This window comes from Homo sapiens, chromosome 20, assembly GCF_000001405.40.
Source record: "Homo sapiens chromosome 20, GRCh38.p14 Primary Assembly".
Taxonomy (NCBI): Eukaryota; Metazoa; Chordata; class Mammalia; order Primates; family Hominidae; genus Homo; species Homo sapiens.
The window spans coordinates 64219653-64237703 of record NC_000020.11 but is presented as its reverse complement, the minus strand read 5'-3'; the positions used below and the strand labels follow the sequence as shown (position 1 = coordinate 64237703).

General features: G+C 57.6%; 1 protein-coding gene across 1 annotated transcript in view, besides 2 other annotated features; it reads right to left on the bottom strand.

Annotated features, from left to right (window-relative positions):
• The window catches only part of MYT1 (myelin transcription factor 1), a 77802-nt gene that overhangs the window by 4550 nt on the left and 55201 nt on the right, over window positions 1-18051 (bottom strand). The window contains exons 13-21 of the mRNA NM_004535.3: window positions 17722-17991; window positions 15657-15811; window positions 14531-14593; window positions 14345-14413; window positions 10227-10289; window positions 9733-9816; window positions 5319-5540; window positions 1058-1149; window positions 314-417 (exon numbers count right to left, since the gene is read on the bottom strand). Of these exons, the coding sequence (NP_004526.1) occupies window positions 314-417; window positions 1058-1149; window positions 5319-5540; window positions 9733-9816; window positions 10227-10289; window positions 14345-14413; window positions 14531-14593; window positions 15657-15811; window positions 17722-17991 (1122 nt within the window). The remainder of the gene's footprint in view (window positions 1-313; window positions 418-1057; window positions 1150-5318; window positions 5541-9732; window positions 9817-10226; window positions 10290-14344; window positions 14414-14530; window positions 14594-15656; window positions 15812-17721; window positions 17992-18051) is intronic.
• Window positions 10865-11364: an enhancer, noted in NCBI's record as "H3K4me1 hESC enhancer chr20:62857693-62858192 (GRCh37/hg19 assembly coordinates)". NCBI's record gives its function as "activates a minimal SCP1, AML or CMV promoter by ChIP-STARR-seq in naive H9 embryonic stem cells {active_cell/tissue: H9 hESC(naive)}" and the evidence as "EXISTENCE:reporter gene assay evidence [ECO:0000049][PMID:30033119]".
• Window positions 13311-14166: an enhancer, noted in NCBI's record as "H3K4me1 hESC enhancer chr20:62854891-62855746 (GRCh37/hg19 assembly coordinates)". NCBI's record gives its function as "activates a minimal SCP1, AML or CMV promoter by ChIP-STARR-seq in primed H9 embryonic stem cells {active_cell/tissue: H9 hESC(primed)}" and the evidence as "EXISTENCE:reporter gene assay evidence [ECO:0000049][PMID:30033119]".

Below are 18051 nucleotides of genomic sequence, written 5' to 3'. Positions count from 1 at the left end.
AGTAAGAGAAACAGTGCTGCTAATCTTAATGGGACTAGTATTATTAATAGTGTTATTAACACTAATGAGACCACAGCCCTGGCGGGACAACCAGCTCCGGCGGCCCACTGGCACTCACAGTGTGACTTCACGGACTCCGCATTGTGAGCGGCCAGCACGTCCTAAGTGTGCCTGTGTGCCAGCCACTGCGCTGTCCGTCAGCTCAGCCCTGACAGCAACCTTGATGAGTGCCGACGGATGCCTCACTGTCCCCAAGACGAATGTTTGGGTTGGGTGGGCAAAGAGCCCAGGAGCGGGGGGCGGCACCACCTACCTGGGACTGCAGCTGCACCATGGCAGCCTCCATCTCCGAGTTGGACTCGTTCAGGTCTCGGATCTCCTGGTTCAGCTGCTTGATCTCCTCATCATTCTCCAACACTGACCCAGAGAGAAACCTCAGTTGTGGCTTTGGGCCTCAGGCAGGCCTGGGCCAAAGTGCTGTGGGGAAGCCTGCTTTCTAGAACTGAAACCCCCTGTGCAGCAGAGGTCTCCCCTCCTGGTTTTCCGAGCTCATCTCTCTCTGGGGCTCATACCCCACATTATGCGCTGGAGAAATCTGTCTTGAAAATTGTGAGATGAGTGTTTATAGTTTGCCTTCCGAGCTGGCTGGCAGGTGGAAAGGCTTAAATCTCTTTGGGAGGTATTAAATGCTACATTAAAGATGGAAGTTTGTTCAGGCAATGCTGAATTTCCTCACCTAAGGGGGAATGAGCCACACCTCTCCACAAACTCACAGCACATGGGCTCCACTGGACTCTGATCCCAGTGGTCACCAAAGCCGCAGGTTACAGCAGGCATGACCTCCTCAGGGCCAGGGACCCCAGACACAGGTGTCAAGAGCTTCAGAGCCAAGGTCCGAAAGGCTGTCAGCTTAGGTGAAGGGATCTGCCTCTGCCGTGACTCATTCCAGGAGGGGCTTCATCTCCCTAACCTTCTTCCCACCAGCACAAAAGGTGCACAGCTCTCACTTACCCTGGCACCCAGCCATGAGCAGGGAAATCCAGGAAGCCATCCTTACCGTCGCTAGTCTTGAACTTTGGACTGAGGACCTCATCCCCTGACAGTTTTCCCTTCTTTCCAGCAAAGGTTGCTCTGGGACAGCCTGACAAACTGGAAGCAGAGGCCACATATCATTCACCAGCCCAGGGTCACCCACCACGACCATCCCAGGGTCACATACCACGGCCAGCCCAGGGTCACATACCACGGCCAGCCCCGGGTCACCCACCACGACCATCCCAGGGTCACCCACCACGGCCAGCCCAGGGTCACCCACCACGGCCATCCCAGGGTCACCCACCGCGGCCATCCCAGGGTCACCCACCGCGGCCAGCCCAGGGTCACCCACCGCGGCCATCCCAGGGTCACCCACCGCGGCCAGCCCCGGGTCACCCACCACCGCCATCCCAGGGTCACCCACCACAGCCATCCCAGGGTCACCCACCACAGCCAGCCCAGGGTCACCCACCACGGCCATCCCAGGGTCACCCACCACGGCCAGCCCAGGGTCACCCACCGCGACCATCCCAGGGTCACCCACCACAGCCAGCCCAGGGTCACCCACCACGGCCATCCCAGGGTCACCCACCACGGCCAGCCCAGGGTCACCCACCGCGACCATCCCAGGGTCACCCACCGCGGCCAGCCCAGGGTCACCCACCGCGGCCAGCCCAGGGTCACCCACCGCGGCCATCCCAGGGTCACCCACCACGTCCAGCCCAGGGTCACCCACCGCGGCCAGCCCAGGGTCACCCACCGCGGCCATCCCAGGGTCACCCACCATGACCATCCCAGCGTCACCCACCACGGCCAGCCCAGGGTCACCCACCACAGCCAGCCCAGTGTCACCCACCACAGCCAGCCCAGTGTCACCCACCACAGCCATCCCAGGGTCACCCACCACAGCCATCCAAGGGTCACCCACCACAGCCAGCCAAGGGTCACCCACCACGGCCAGCCAAGGGTCACCCACCACCACCAGCCCAGTGTCACCCACCACGGCCATCCCAGGGTCACCCACCACGGCCAGCCCAGGGTCACCCACCACAGCCAGCTCGGGGTCACCCACCATGGCCAGCCCCGGGTCACACACCATGACCATCCCGGGGTCACATACCACGGCCAGCCCCGGGTCACATACCATGGCCAGCCCAGGGTCACTCAGCCAGCCCAGGGTCACCCATCATGACCATTCCAGGGTCACCCACCGCGGCCATCCCAGGGTCACCCACCATGACCATCCCAGCATCACCCACCATGGCCAGCCAAGGGTCACCCACCACCACCAGCCCAGTGTCACCCACAACGGCCATCCCAGGGTCACCCACCACGGCCAGCCCAGGGTCACCCACCACAGCCAGCTCGGGGTCACCCACCATGGCCAGCCCCGGGTCACACACCATGACCATCCCGGGGTCACATACCACGGCCAGCCCCGGGTCACACACCATGACCATCCCGGGGTCACATACCACGGCCAGCCCCGGGTCACATACCACGGCCAGCCCAGGGTCACTCAGCCAGCCCAGGGTCACCCATCATGACCATCCCAGGGTCACCCACCACGGCCATCCCAGGGTCACCCACCATGACCATCCCAGCATCAACCACCATGGCCAGCCCAGGGTCACCCACCATGACCATCCCAGGGTCACCCACCACAGCCAGCCCAGTGTCACCCACCACAGCCATCCCAGGGTCACCCACCACAGCCATCCCAGGGTCACCCACCATGGCCAGCCAAGGGTCACCCACCACCACCAGCCCAGTGTCACCCACCACGGCCATCCCAGGGTCACCCACCACGGCCAGCCCAGGGTCACCCACCACAGCCAGCTCGGGGTCACCCACCATGGCCAGCCCCGGGTCACACACCATGACCATCCCAGGGTCACATACCACGGCCAGCCCCGGGTCACATACCACGGCCAGCCCAGGGTCACTCAGCCAGCTCAGGGTCACCCACCACGGCCAGCCCAGGGTCACATACCACAGCCAGCCCAGGGTCACCCACCACGGCCAGCCCAGGGTCACCCACCACGGCCAGCCCAGGGTCACCCACCACGGCCAGCCCAGGGTCACACATTACGGGTTAACAGAAGGCATGTTCCACCTCACCTAGATGACCTGGAGGGCCTCCCTATGGCCAAACTGTGTTCTATGGGGAAAAAGAAGCTACATCTAGGCAGGGCAGAGGCTGGGAAGGGGACACTCCAGAGCTCACCTCATCTGGCACAGCCATAGCTGACCCTGCCTGATACTCGGGGGGCCAGGGCACCGTTGCTCTCAGCAGGGCTCCCTCTGGGGTCTGAGGTCCACATGACCCACTTGCCGGTACTTTGCAGCCCTGACCTCCCAGAGGAGCCCATCCTAGCTGCGTCTGCCTCTGAGATACCCTCTAGGCTGTGGTGATAATGACAGTCACAGATCACTCCTCGGATATAGACACTCAAGCAGAAAAATGCATTACAATTGTGCATTCTCAAGCATGATTTCATTTATGAAGTGATTGTATCCACACCATAAGTAAAGGTTGATTGAGGCAAGGTAAGATGTCCTTAGGAAGCCCAGCATAAGTCTCTGCCCAACTGACCCCGGCTGCAGTAGTCTCCTTTAGTGGCCTTCCCGGCTTCTGCAGCTGTGTCCATGCCAGCTGCCCATGCCAGATCTAGTCTCTCCTCTGCCTTCTGCCAGGGCCCTCACTCACAGTGAAAGCTGAGTCCTTGCCAGCGGGCAGCCAGATAAGCCCTGGCTTAGAACTTTCTACCTCATCTCTTTTGCTCCCTCTCCCTGGCTCCAGGCCCTCAGCACCTCCAACCTTGTCCAGCGGGCCAGGCTGTTCCCAGCTCCAGCCACTTCGCTGAGGGCTTGTGCCCCAGACACCTCAGGCCAAGCTGCTACTTCCTTCTCAAAGAGGACTTCCTTGTCCTCTTCCCTGCTTCTTTTTTGCCCAGCACACGCACCACCATTCACCATACTAAGTAATTTACGTATTTATTTGTTTACAGGCTGTCCCACCTACTCTGCCCAAAATGCACTCTACAAGGATAAGGGGTAGTTGTCCTTTTTTTCTCTGCTCTCTCTCCAAGGCTTGGTACATGGTGCAAATGCTTTTGTTGAATGAGTGAGTTAATTAATCTTGTAGATGGAGGAAGGAAGGGAAAAGGGAGGGGAGGGGAAGAAAAAGAAGAGAAGGGGAGGAAGGTGGGGGAAGGGAAGGGGAAGGTGAGGGGGGAGGGGAGGGGAGAGGAAGAAGGGGAGGAGAGGGGGTGGGGAGGGAGTGGGGGAGGTGGGGGGTGGGCAGAGGGAAGGGAGGGGAGGGGTAGGAGAGGGGAGGGGAAGGGGAGGGGAGGGGAAGGGGAGGGGAGAGGAGGCAAAAGGGAAGGGAGAGGGGAGAGGAAGGAAGGAGAGGGGAGGGGAAGGGGAAGGGAGGGGAAAGAAGGAAAGGGGGAGGGATAGGGGAAGGGAGAGGGGAGGAAAGGGGAGAGGGGAGGGAAAGGGAAGGAGGAAGGGAGGGAGAAGAGGAAAGGAGGGAGAAGGGAGGGGAAGGAGGAGGGAAGAAGGGGAGGGGAGGGACAGGGGAGGGAATGAAGAGTCAGCATTGGCCCTAGGCCCAGACACAGGGTTTCTGATGGGACCAGGCACTCATTGTCACCATAGGACACAGACAGGAAGTGGGGCTGGTGAAGCAAGGTCCTTCGGCTCTGGAGCAGGTGTTGGAGGGCAGGCGAGAGTTGGTGAATGCTGCCCAGGCCCACTGCCTGACAGAGAGGGGTTACCAGCTCCCTTGCAAGGCAGGCAGGGGTCTCTGCCCAGAGTTCAAAGAAGAGGCATGAATGGGACGGACAGGGCATAAGGTGTAGGAGACAAACTTTTCCTGAGAAGGTATGAATGGGAGGGACAGGGCATAAGGTGTAGGAGACAAACTTTTCCTGAGAAGTTGTCAGCCTGTTAAGAGAACGTAAGTGTCAGACCCAGGGCTCTGCTCATGTGTGGCCTCTGTGTCCAGCATAACACCCAGCCAGGAAGGACTCCATCAGGATGTGGAAGGGTGGCGTATGAGGGGAGACGCATGGCGAAGACATAACCCACAGCATCACCTGGCACCAACAGACCCGCTAGCCTCCCCCATCCGCTACCCATGTGGCCTGGCCTTTCCCTTGAGCAACTCTGGTCACACGGAGCCCTGGTCTGGCCCTCCCTCAGGAGCTTCAGCCCCAGGCCCCAGGCGAGGGTCCCTACTGACTGCACAGAGGGGCAGGACCTGCAGGCACAGTTACCTCCGGTGGGTGAGGAAACTCCCATTGGCGTGGCCAGAGCCGTCACAGCCCGGGGTGGGGCAGGTCGGTCCTTCATTCTTCAGGGACTTCCAGGAGAATGACGAGCCATTGAGGGACCCTTCCTTCTGCCTGCGGGCGGCCAGTGGGCAGCCGGATGCGCTCCTGTGAGAGGCGTATTTCCCGCTGATGTGACCGAGCCCCACACAGCCTGGAACTGGGCACCTGGGTACAGAGAGGCCGGGGTGAGTACAGGGGCGAAGGGTTGGGAGGAGAAGCCTGGAGACTCTCTCAAGCCAGACACAAGGGGAGCCCAACTCAGAGCCGTTAAAGGGCTTCTGAGTGAGGCAGGGAGGGCCGCTGAGGTCCTGGAGCCTCAGGGAAGAACTGGCCCTTCCGGGCTGAGTGTGAAGACCCGGGCCACGCTCCCTCTTCCGCTTTGGCCTCACAGCCCCTGCATGACTGGGGTCTCCACAGCCACCTTCTTTCCGTGCCCTCCAGCAGCCGTGACCCTGGGCCTGGGGGCTGCTCTCAGGTTCCCTCCAAGCCTTGCTGCTGGAGTCACTTGTGTGTCACTCAGCAATGTGGAGCCATGTTGTCAGCTGAGACCACCTAGAGGCCACTCCCTGGGAGCTTGCATCAAGCATAGGCCTGGGGGCCTATGGATCACAAAAGAATGACAAGGTCCCCTAAGCAGGGGAGCTCAGGGACAGCAGAGGCCTGTCACCCCACAGCCTCCCAGACTGAGGCCAGTGCAATCAGGGGGCAATGCCCATAGATGTTGCAGCTTTGCCACCACTGAGATCTATGTTCTAGAAGGAAGAACGCAGACCTCATGTGGGGGAGACTCGCTACCCATAATCACTCGTGCCTGAGGCTGGCCTTAAATGGTGTTTTCCTTTCCTTCGTTCTGGGTGTTCCAGGAGAGGGATAGAGGCCCTTATGAAAATAACATAAATTCAGATTGGCAAATGCCTTGGGCTCAGTGTGGGTCAGAGACAAACAGGACAGCGCAGAGGGCCCAGGCCCATGACCTCTCTGAGTGTCTGTCCCCACTGCCTCAGGGAAGGACCTGGACCAGGACTTGGGGAGCTGAGGGACCACGTCATCCAGGAACCCACGCCAAACCCAGGACAAGATCTTCAATCTGCAAGGCTCATTCTTATCTCTTCATAAATGAAACTCATCCAAATTACCGTTTGTCACACACTCCCTGTGTGCTGATTACCTGGCAACACAAGACCCCGAGAGGTCACCATGGCTCCATTTACGAGGAGATTCATGGGCATACAGGGAAGTCACTGTCAGCGCAGGAAGCGCTCGGGAGGACGGTAGCAGGGGGCGGGGGCGGGGGCAGAGGCTCCCGCCGTAGGGGTGAGAGGCGGCTCAGGGCTGCGCTGCCCAGTGGAAGGTCAACAAGGCCTGGACAGGGAGGGCAGCGTCCGGCTCCTTGCCCCCACACTCTGGCCTCGTCTCTGAAGCTGCCGTTTCAGACCCTTCCCAGCCAACTCGGCCAGGACCCTGCTTTCTCTCTCTCCACAGGCCCCTCTCTTGGTTCTTTTCCCTTTGTTACTCATCCCACCCACCTGGCCCTCAGAAACTTTTAGGACATTCCCTGAGCCAGTCCGAGGTCACCTCATCCCCGTCCAGAGCAGAGACACTGCCAGGGGCCCCTATGGGAGCTTTGGGAAGTTCACATTCAATGTCCAGCCCCCCTCTGATGGGGATGGCCCAGCCATGGGACCCTGGGGGACACCTGCACCAGGCACAGACTGGCTGGGAAGAGGCTCTGTGGCCAAATGGGGGGTGGCTGGCTCTTCAGCTACTCTACACAGTCGAATCTGAATTATTATTAGTAGTAGTAGTAGTATTTTTGAGATGGAGTCTCGCTCTTGTTGCCCAGGCCGGAGTGCAGTGGCACAATCTTGGCTCACTGCAACCTCCGCCTCCCGGCTTCAAGCGATTCTCCTGCCTCAGCCTCCCGAGTAGCTGGGATTACAGGCGCCCGCCACCACGCCCGGCTGATTTTTGTATTTTTAGTAGAGATGAGGTTTCACCATGTTGGCCGGGCTGGTCTCGAACTCCTGACCTCAGGTGATCCACCCGCCTCAGCCTCCTAAAGTGCTGGGATTACAGGCATGAGCCACAGTGCCCGGCCCAAATCTGAGTTATTTTCACTCCCTTTCTTGCAAAACACTACTCCCCTTCATCAAGGGAAACTGTTTTTGTTCCCTTGAATCGCATACATGGAGAGGATTTCAGATTTCAGGTATGTTCTCTTTCTCACAAAACCTGGTGTGGAGACTTTCAAGCTGTCAGGGACATCATGTTGAGAGGTGCTGGGGCGGTGGGGGCAGGCACTGAGCTGGTGAGGCCTCTGTGCTTCTTGGGTGAGCTAGTGTTTCCTATCACGTGTTGGGGGGCAGAAGCCGTGTGTGCCAGTGACATGAGAAACATGGCCAGGACCAGAAGTCCCCTCCAGGGACAGTGGGCAGGGCAAGGGGAGCATTCACCTCTTGACTCCCATGCTGGAACCTCCGCAAGACTTTTATGACCAGTTATAAAGCTGTGGCAAAGGGATTTACCACCAAGCGCCTGATGTGACTTAATTTTAAATAGCGCAGGCAGGAGATATCATAAAAAGGACTCCTGTTCCACCAGGCTCCCCAAATCACAGCTCATGCATGCTGACGAAATCCCATCCCTCAGCATGACCTGACACATCCATTCCAGTTTCTGCTTTGATATGCATCTGTTTAAATATGCTAGGCAATTACAAGTGCAGTTAAAGTTTATGGCTGGGAAGGAACCCTGTAAAACGGAGGGTTCAGTAGTCAGGTTCCCTCTGCCATGGAGCCTCTAGGACCTTCCTCTATCCTGCAAATGCTGAAGTGTTTCTGAAAGTCACAGTCTCCACTCGGCTGCAGAACTCTTGTTTTTTTTTAAAGCTCAGTTGACAGCACATTAGAAAGGAAAACCATTTTTCCTGGTTAATTTGAAAAATGCTGATCTTGATTTTAATCATTTGCAAATGCAGCACGATTCACTTATAATATCCCTGCCAGCAGGATCCTTGCCAAATCCATAAAGGTGTTGCACTTATATGATCATAGGCAAATTCCTGGATTCTCAGGGGCAAAATGCTTTTTATCCACCTCAGCATTTAGTGTGCGACCTTCATAGTACTAACAACCAAAATTTTGCATTGTTAATTTAGCATTCATTACAGTTTTATTGTAAAAATTAAATAAATAAACAAGCCACAGCCTATTACACCAAACAGCTGGTGGGCCCATCCCCGTCTGAAGGATGTGATGTTGGTCAATTAGGCTCCTCCAGTGTGGCCGGGTGTTTGGGCACAGCTGGAGCAAACTACCAGGAGGAGCAACCCAATCTCAGGCCAAGTTGCCCCTCCCCGGGCGTGAGGTCTGGCTGCTCTTGGCCCAGCAGGTAACACAACGAGGGCAACCTGCTTCCTGCGGGCATAGTAGGGCCCCGTCCCGACCGAGCCGGCCCCTAACCCTGGGCAACAAGGTGTCCAGAGCCATCATTTCCACTCTGCTCACCTGCTGGGGAACCCACTGCCCATTTTGCCAGATGTCAGCTCTGAAAGTACCTCGGTCCTGGGCAAAATGGCCAGTGGGTCACCTGGTCTGAGTCTGTAGCAAAGCATTCCCCCCACCTAAAAGTGGGCAGTGCAGGGGACCCGTTCCCTATTGGGAGAATAAGCTTGTAAGGACACAAACCCCCACCAAGTAGGATAACACACAGAGTCAGGGTTCACCTATAAGCCCCACAAAGACACACGAGCCCCCACCCTGCCCCAGTGAGAAGAGCAATAGAGGAGAATCTTTTCTCCTCAAGGACTTGGGTCACTTAAGGCCCAAGATGTCCTCTTTCCTTCACCCAACAGTGTCTGGCTCCCAGTTTAGATCCTCCTGGCTCTCTCAATCTACCAGCTCTCTGCACAGGTGTGTGGGTGGATGGACACATGGGATTTGGAGCTTCAACATTGTTCTAACCACCTTCTCCTCCTTGACTCCTGCATCTCACCTTTCCTGCCAGACAAATTCTGCAGGTTGCAAGGCCCTGGGGCCCACTCCCAGGTGGCCCTAAGACATAGGTAGAAGGGTGCTCTGCCTCTCCCAGCCCCGTCAAATACTCCAGACCTGAAAAGCCCAGAAAATCTGGCACCCATGCCCTCCACGCGACATCCAGGGCTCCTATCTTCACAGGTATCAACGTGTAGCGTATGAGAGCTTCCATAAAAATGAAAGAAACGAAAGTTGGCGTTGGTCAGTTAGGTGACCCGTTGTATTAATGAAAAGGGAATCTAGTAGGAGTTTTTTTACATTATAAAACACACGAAAATCTCAATTCCGCAATGCAATGAAAGAGCCAGCATGGCCCAACGTACTTCATCAGCTCGGGGTCCTCCTTGTCGTCCTTGGTGGGTGCCACCTTGACTCCACTTTTCTTTGCACGAGGGCAGCCGGACAAGCTGATTTCGAAAGAGGAAAAAAGGCCACCTTAGTGCTGGAACCGCAGCTTCTCACACCCGTTCATCTCACCCTCTCCCCTCAAGCTCTGTGACCCCAGGGTGGGGTGGGAGGGAGTGAGGGCAACCGATGGGTCAGTTGTAAGAAGCAGAATCCACAGACACAGCCTTCACACGAGGCAGCAGGGTCGGGAAGGAGAAGCATTACCACGAGCCCCTAGCCCTGACCCCTTGTCTTTTTATCTTACTGCAGAGGACAACTTAATCAGGTTCTGGAAATGGCAACAATTCAGATTAAAGAGATGGGAATGGACTCTAGCTGTCAGCAACATTAGTGTCTTCTAATCTTCATATAAGGAAGAGACTCCCTGCCCACCCCTGGGGCCCAGGACCTGAGGGTGTGGCAGGCTCACCTCCGGTGTGAAGCGTAGTTCCCTGTGATGTGGCCAGAGCCGTCACAGCCGGGCGTGGGGCACCTGCAGAGGGAAGCAGAACTGGAACGGGAGCCCGTGAAGGCGTTTAGCCCCGGCCCAGAGCCCTGGGACCCCCAGAGGAAAGCCTTCTGGGCTCAGCCCTTGAGTGCGCCCACCCACATTCCCTTGTCCGCAGAGGAGCATCGCCGATGTTCACCCCGGCTGCCGACTGCCAGCAACAGGGGTCTGATGCGATCATCTCAGGGGTTCAGTGCTTTGCTCCCCCGTCTCCCCGAGGGAGACCAGGAAGTCTGAGAGGAGAGCAGCCAACTGCTGCTCCAGCATCGGTTTACACCCAGACACCAAACCTGGGCACTGGGACAGGCCTACAGGGTCCACTGCAGCCAAGGACACGAAGGGCTCCCAGCTTGGACTTCTGTAGGGTCCGGTCTGGACTAAAGGCATTCAGAGCATATCTGAGCCATAACTTGAAGCACAGCCTAAGACCAGTTCATCTTCTTGGATGGGCTGGGAGCTTGCCCTCACAAAGCGTGGCCACCATGGGCTGGTAAATGAACAGAGGCCTTTTTGCACACCTGCTGCAGAGCAGATGGCGCTGGCCATGCCAGGCCTGGCTGTTGTATAGCATGACTGCAGAGTTCACACAGCCAGTGGCTTACAGCAGAGAGTAAGGAGGAGAAACACAAAAGTCCAACTTTACACACCCAAAACTATTTGACGAATGTATCACATAAGGTGGTACAAAATTCCACTTTAATATTACAAGCACGGATGTTATTTTCTTCCGAATGTCCACTGAGGAAAAAATATGTGAGTTCCTGCTGATGTTAGAGAGTGGGAGGAGGTGACCTGATTCTGCGGGTAGATCCATCCCCCGTCAGGCCTGCTCTCTGTGCCTCACCCCTCCTGACCCCTGACCCTGCAGGAGCCAGGCAAGAGTTCAGTGCTTGTGTCCAGATCACCTGCTGCTCAAAGGCACTTTGCAGTGGTGCTCAGACCCCAGGGAGGACGTCTCACTTTCCATGCTGCTGGCCCTTCCTCACCGGAGTCTTCCACCAGCACATGTGACATCCGGCCACTGGGACAGGACATCTCCTCGCTTGGAGGAAGATGAAGCCGGGCACAGCCTGGCACCCAAAGGGCTGTGGCGGCACAGCAGGGCTGGCCCCACCTCTTGCAACCTTCTCTTCGGCCCCTAGGAGTTTTTTTGGGGTGCCCTCCTGGGGAGCCTCACATTCCTTCATCCTTGCCCTGTGGGCCACACATTGGATACCTTGCTGGCCAGCCAAGAGAACTGAAGATGGCCTGCCTCTCCTTCCTGGGTTGGCAGCTGTTCAAGTGGCCACTTGGGGCTCCAGCTCCTTGTCTCAGTGGCAGCAAAGCATCAGGTAGAGCTCAGGTTCAGTGCGGTGGGCAAGTGGCCACTCAGGTGGCCAGAGTGACAGACCCACAGCAGCTCTAGGCCTCAACGGGGATAAGCACAGCATTGGACTGTGAGTGGCATCAACAGCAGAGGAGATACTTCCCGATGGCATCTGTGAGTGAGTCTCAGGTGGGGGTATAACTCCCAAGGGGCCGGCAGTACCTAACACACAGGGGGGGCCATCCTGCAGTCCTCACTAAGGCCCGATTCAATGGCTTTTCTCAAGAGTTGTGTCCCAGAGAGGAAAGTACTCACATAGTCAGAGGAGCAGGTGTCCCCTCTGCATGCCCCTCATGGCTCTGTGGACCCCCAGGGTCAGCTGCAGGAATCTGGAGCCACATCCACCCCTCCCACCACCTGCTTCTGAGTGCCCCATCTGGGCAGAAGGGAACACCGTGTCTGAGGGGCACCCTCTACCTTGGCAATACACACCAGGTCTCACCTCTCTAAGCCCCATCCCCGTGCTGTGGACAGGCATTCTTCACCCTGCACAAAGCCTGTCATGCCCTGGCAGGTGTGTGTGGTTGCAGCTCAACTCCCAACACAAGATGAGCTGAGTGGCCCGAGGCGGCCATGTCCTCACAGCCCTTGACCACATCAGACACATGGGAGGGAAGAGTGAACGCCCTTGGGATTCACTTAAAACACAGAACACACATCATCTGACTGTCGCTGCAGCCAGGTGCGGACAGGGAAGTCATGAAAGGAACCTCGTTTGTCCCAAGGCCACCGTCACCCATGGCTGCCACGAGGCTGATCAGGAGGGGCCAGTGCCCGATGCCGCCTCACACAGGAGGTGGCAGAGAGCAAGGAGGTTGGTACACCAGGACACGTGGCGGGGGGAGACCACCATCGTCCCAAGCTCATGCAGTGGTCGGAGGGAGGAAAGGAAGTGGCCTCCCATGGAAAGGCCCCTGGGGGAGAGTGGAGTTTCTGAAGGAGCCTGGAGGCCGTGGCTGCCTGCCCAAACCCTGCTGATGCTGATGAGCGGTTCACTTTCACACAGGGGAGGCTTTTGGTCGTTATTTCTAAAGAAGTTTGGCGTTAAGGTTCTTCACAGGCTCTTAGTCTTAAAAAAGCACTAACTCTCCCAGACGGCCATGTCTCCAGGCCCGAACTGTGCCAAGCTCCTTTCATCCGCCCAAGCATCCACTTCACAGGACAGAAAGGACATGGTGACATTTGGGGCCACTGAGTGCCTGCAGCCACATTTCTCCTCTTAAATTATTCAGGCCCAAATGGGAAAAACCATGGAGACTAATCACGGAAAAGAAAGCAGAATTGGAAAAGGAAAAAGGAATGCAAGAAAGATGGCAAGAGAAGAAGGAAAGAGGGAGAGAGGACAGTCCCAGAAGCTGCAGGACTGAGTGTTTCCTGGGTTTCTAGGACTAGACAAAGTGGGCGGCAGAATGAATGAATAAGTCAATGTGTGCAGCTGCTGTGGTGATCTCAGCCTCAGAAAATGCTTATGTTGAAGCTATTAACTTCCAGGAAGGAAACTTAGATGCTGCACCCCACTCTGTGGGAACTGAAGGGCCTCATGACACACTCCTCCTGGCTGCTGGGGCCAGACCAGCCTCCAGAGGGGAACAGAGACAAGGCTGCTGGTGGGGGCTCTGGGAGACCTAGAGCTTTCTGTCCAGGTCTGAGCCAGCCAAGGTCCCTAGAAGCCTTCAGCAAGTTCATTTCCTCATCTTAGAGGCACCAGTGCCCAGGATCCTGTCTGGCCCCAGAATGGAATAAGCCAGGGTGTGTTGACCTGGATTCAGGGCCCCCAACACAGAGGCCTATGGGAGGGAGGGACACCCCTGGAGAGAGGTGACCTGAGGAGACAAGAATGGGACCCCCTTCCTCCAAGGCCTCAGCTCGGCCCCGGTGCCCAGGAGGAGCTCCCCATGGCTCAGGGTCACACAGGCTGAGGAGTCACAGCACAACTGGAGGCATGAAAACCAAAGGCAGTAACAGTCCCTGACTCCAGCCCCAGGAGGACACTGACCCCTGGAAACCTCTGGGTGCTTGCGCCTGGTTGTGCAGGACTGTCCAGCAAGCTATAGCTGGTGCCTGCAGGGCCTGCCCTGCCCATGTGTTAGGTAGGGGCAGGGAGGTACAGAAGCAGAAACGGGTGAGCCCAGCAAAGAGAAGGCATGAGCATGGGGGGAGGGCATCAGGGCCAAGGCAGAAGCAGCTGGAGCGTGACAGGAGAGGGGAGGGGAAGGAGCTTTCTCTTCATTATCAGCGTTCAGTTCATTTAGCAAGAGCCGCACAGCCTGTGGCCTGCCGAGCCACGGCAGGGCTTACGTTCCCTGGTCGGTTCTGGGCTTTTCCCAAATCTCTAGGGCAGTAAGAAAGCAGGCCCAGACAGCCCTGTCGGGGATCTTCAGGAGAGGCTGGAGGGTGGGGGATGGGTCAAGAGCAGCGCAGGAGCCTGCAGCGACCCCTAGCCCCCAGCGGAGAGGCAAACAGCAGAGCTCAGAGCAGGTGCACACAGGCAGAGCAGCCCCAGCCAAGCAGAATCGGCCCCTCCACGGCCCTGCCCCTCTGCCCATCTCAGGAGAGCTGGGGCCAGCTGAGGCTTGGCACCTTGGAGAAGGCTGATTTTGGCAGGAGCCTCATGGAAGGAGAGCAAAGCGAGGGTGCCGCCCAAGAGACAGGAGGTCAGGGAGCGCAAACATACTTGAGGTCAGCAGAGTGGGCAGCCATGAGGTTTCTGAGGCTCTTGTCAGCAAGAGGGCAACCAGAGAGGCTGAAAGAGAAGAGATGGGATATTGGGGTAAGCCAAAGAGGGAGAGCAGAGGAGGAGGAGAGGAGGAAGACCCACCACGAAGCACCCAGGCCAGACGGACCCGAGCAGGAGACAAACCTGCGGTGGGAGGCGTAGTTCCCGGTGATGTGGCCGCTGCCGTCACAGCCAGGGGTGGGACAGCTGGACAAAGGAAAAAGAGTGTCAGACCGGAGAGTGGTGTGTACCTGCCCCCCAGGCTGAGCCTGCTCTGCGAGGGAGACTGGTGCCCACTCCTGGCTCACCCGCGAGCCAAGCGGTGGCCCCTCCTCCACTCAGTCCTTGGAGGACAGCCGGTGCCTCTCAGGCTGGAAGTTTCTCCCACACAACTTAACTCAAGAAGAAAAAGTAACCAAATTAAAGTTGAGCTTAAAGTTAGGATGCCTCTGACGCACATGTGCTGTGTGTGCACGTGTATGTGCCCACGAATATTTAGGCAGAGGAGCTCCTTCCCTTCTCCAGGCCCTGAAGCAAGGCCTTCCCTGGATCCAGCCACTCCCAGGAGGGCAAGCTACAAGTGTGAGGGTACAAGAGGGGTTCAGGTTGGGGAGAAGAGGGACCCCAGAAATGTACTCTGAGCACATGTGAGAGCTGGATCACCTGTGGAGCAGGTGCCAGGCACAGCCTCTCACAGTCCCCTAGGACAGGTGGCTGGCAATGAAGGCTGACCAGAAGGTCATTGACATCTGATTCATATCCATCAGCAACTCTGTCTGTTCCAACCCCATGCGGACCAGCTCAGACACGCAGCCTCTGGGCCAGCCAGGCTGACAGAGTTGAGGGTGGTGAGCCCTAAGGCAGTACATTCCAGGCCTTGGCCATGGAGCCCAGGGCAGAACGTGCCCAGCTGCGGCCTCAGGGAGAGGGCCAGGCCTCTGGGTGCCCCGAGGGCTTCCTGCAGAGCTCTCTGAGGAGCTCTCCTCCACTCTGCCCCTGCCCTGCTCTGTCCTGCTTGGTGAGCTTGGCCAGGGGATTTCTTTGTTCTTAATCACTTTTAGAAGATTGCAGTAAAGCCCAGCACAACACAAAGGTGTTGGGAAACCTCTGAATACCCTGGCTCCTGTCACAGGCTGCCTGGCTCGAGGTGGTCAGGACAGGTCGGGGAAAGCCTGAGCAGACCCGGTCGTCATGGGTTGGGACCAGGGCCTGTTCCTCCCCAGGCCACAGAGGGTCCCCTAGGAGCTGTGCCAGCCAAACAGGGACTTACGTGAGCAGCTCCTTCTTTATGTCCTTGGAGAGAAACTTCAGCTTAAAGTTGGTCAGGGTGACTTCCCCCGGATACTTCCGCTCCTCAAAATTCTCTTCCGACACTTCCTGGTCATCTGCTTCAGAAGAAGCAAAAGAATGGGCTGCTGGCTCTGACTGCAAAAAACCAGCAGGAAGATGTTTTAACCGGCTGGCGGGGAGGCCTGGGCGCCCAACCCAGTGGGCGAGGGAGAGGGACCCTTCAGGACAGTGTCCACAGAAGCATCTCCCGGAGTCTCCTATCTTCTGGATAAGGGAGGAAGACTTAACTCCCCCCAGCAAAACACAGAAGACAACACCCCTGAGGGGCTGGATCCCTCCCCTGCTTCAGCCAGAGGTCCTGCGTTGCCCTAGAAATGAGGCCTGGTGCTGCCCAGTGTGGCAGGCTCCTGACACCCTCCCTGGCCTCCCTCCGCCACATCACTCCGCAGCGTAAACATCAGGATACAGTTCCCTTCAGAGCCAGGGATGGCACTCAATAGACAGTAGGCACTAAATAAGTGTTACCGAAATGCCATGAAGATGAGATGGCACAACGAGGGTAATAACATACAAATTACAACAATCGCAGTAACCTCGAAACCACCTGGCCCGACACGCCCACCAGTGCGATGCCTTGACCACAGCAGGTGCTTGATAAAGGCTTCGAACTGAATGCTGGGTATGGAGGCTCAGAGCTGTGGACACAGATAAGCAGGGCGTAGTCCCTCCCACGGAGGGGCCAGGGGTCCAGGAAGGGTCAGAAGGCCAACATTCTGCAGGATGCTGTAACCAGAGCTCAAAATCCTGTCCTGACAGGCACTCGCATGTGTCCCAGGCAAGTGGCTCAGGCTCTTGGGGCCCAGGTGCCACTCTGTCCAACTTGAGATAACAGCAGCCCCTCAAAGGTTTTTGGGGGTCAAATGAGGAAATGCCCGTGAAGCCCACAGCCCAGCATAATAACAGTCTTCGGATAATTGGACCTCGTTGTGGGTTCCCAGGCTGCTCGTCTATGAAATGGGGTGACCTGAGGGTGGTGTGAGGGCCGGTAAGGAAGTCTGCCTCCCACTGAGGCCGGATTGTGGAGGGGGCCTGATCCAGCCCCCACCCTTCATAGGGGCCTGATCCAGCCCCCACCCTTCATAGGGGCCTGATCCAGCCCCCACCCTTCATAGGGGCCTGATCCAGCCCCTACCCTTCATAGGGGCCTGATCCAGCCCCCACCCTTCATAGGGGCCTAGCCCCACCCCCCTCATTCCTCCTTGAGGGTCTGGCCCTGCTCCTTCCACAGGGACCCCTTCCACCTCCTGAGGGGCTTTGGGGGAGGGGAAGGAGAGGGAGAGGGGCCTGCTAGTCTCACACACGCGGCTGCTGCCGCCTGGACCCTGGGCTGCCCTCACAGCTGGACTTTGCTCTTCAGGACACACACCTCCTTGGGAAAAAGCCCAGAACCGGCTGTGGCCTCGGAGGATTCTTCTTTCACATGTTTTAAGGAACTAAAAAGGGAAGGATCCCCTGCTTCCCAGACCACAGTTCCAGCACCCATGCCAGGTTGGTCCTGGTCTCGGGGACGTAGAACTGCCCACCATGGGCGATCCTAAGCCCAGGTCCTAAGCTCTCTCACTGGCTCTGCCCCTACCCGGACAGCAGGTTAGCTCTGCAGGGTGGTGGGAGGCTCAAAACCCAAGAAACCTGAGCTTTTCCCCAATCAACTCCTGGGATCTGAACGATGCCTTTCTCCTCCCCATGCCTCCACAGTGCCCACGTTGGTGCTGGCCACCATGCTCCACAGGGGTGAGAAGACCACCTCCTTCTTGACAGACAAGGGCACAGCATGACCCTGCTGCTGAAAATCCCACCCAGAGGGTGAGCCCCTGAGTCCCAGCTGCTCAGAAGATGAAGGACCCTTCACGAAAAGGGATGGCTCCCCGAGGCTCTTCCAGAAGCCTGTGAGGAGAAGCTTCCTTGAAAAGCCAATATCACAACAGCCTCAGGCAGGGCAAGCTGGCTGCAGCCGCCTGACTGCTTGCCCAGGCGCCTGCACCCACCTCCTCAGGTTCCTCCTCTCTCAGGCGGCTAGGCTTGGTGTAGTCCAGGGGCCGGTCCCACTCGTCCTGGCGGGAGGCCTGGCTGGACTGGGGAGAGGTCATGGAGCTGCTGGGGGCGCTGGTGCTGCTGTGGCGCTGGGAGGCGTCGGGAGACTTCACACCGGGGCTGCTGCTGCAGCTGCTGCTGCTGGGGAAAGCATTTTCTCGTTTGCGGTGTTTGTGCATGCTCAAGTCCAGGGTTCCATTTTCGTCTACCTCGATATCCACAGACTGCAATGGCAAAGGTGAGATCTGTTAGCGATTCCATCCCTTCCCATGTGTGCCTTCTGG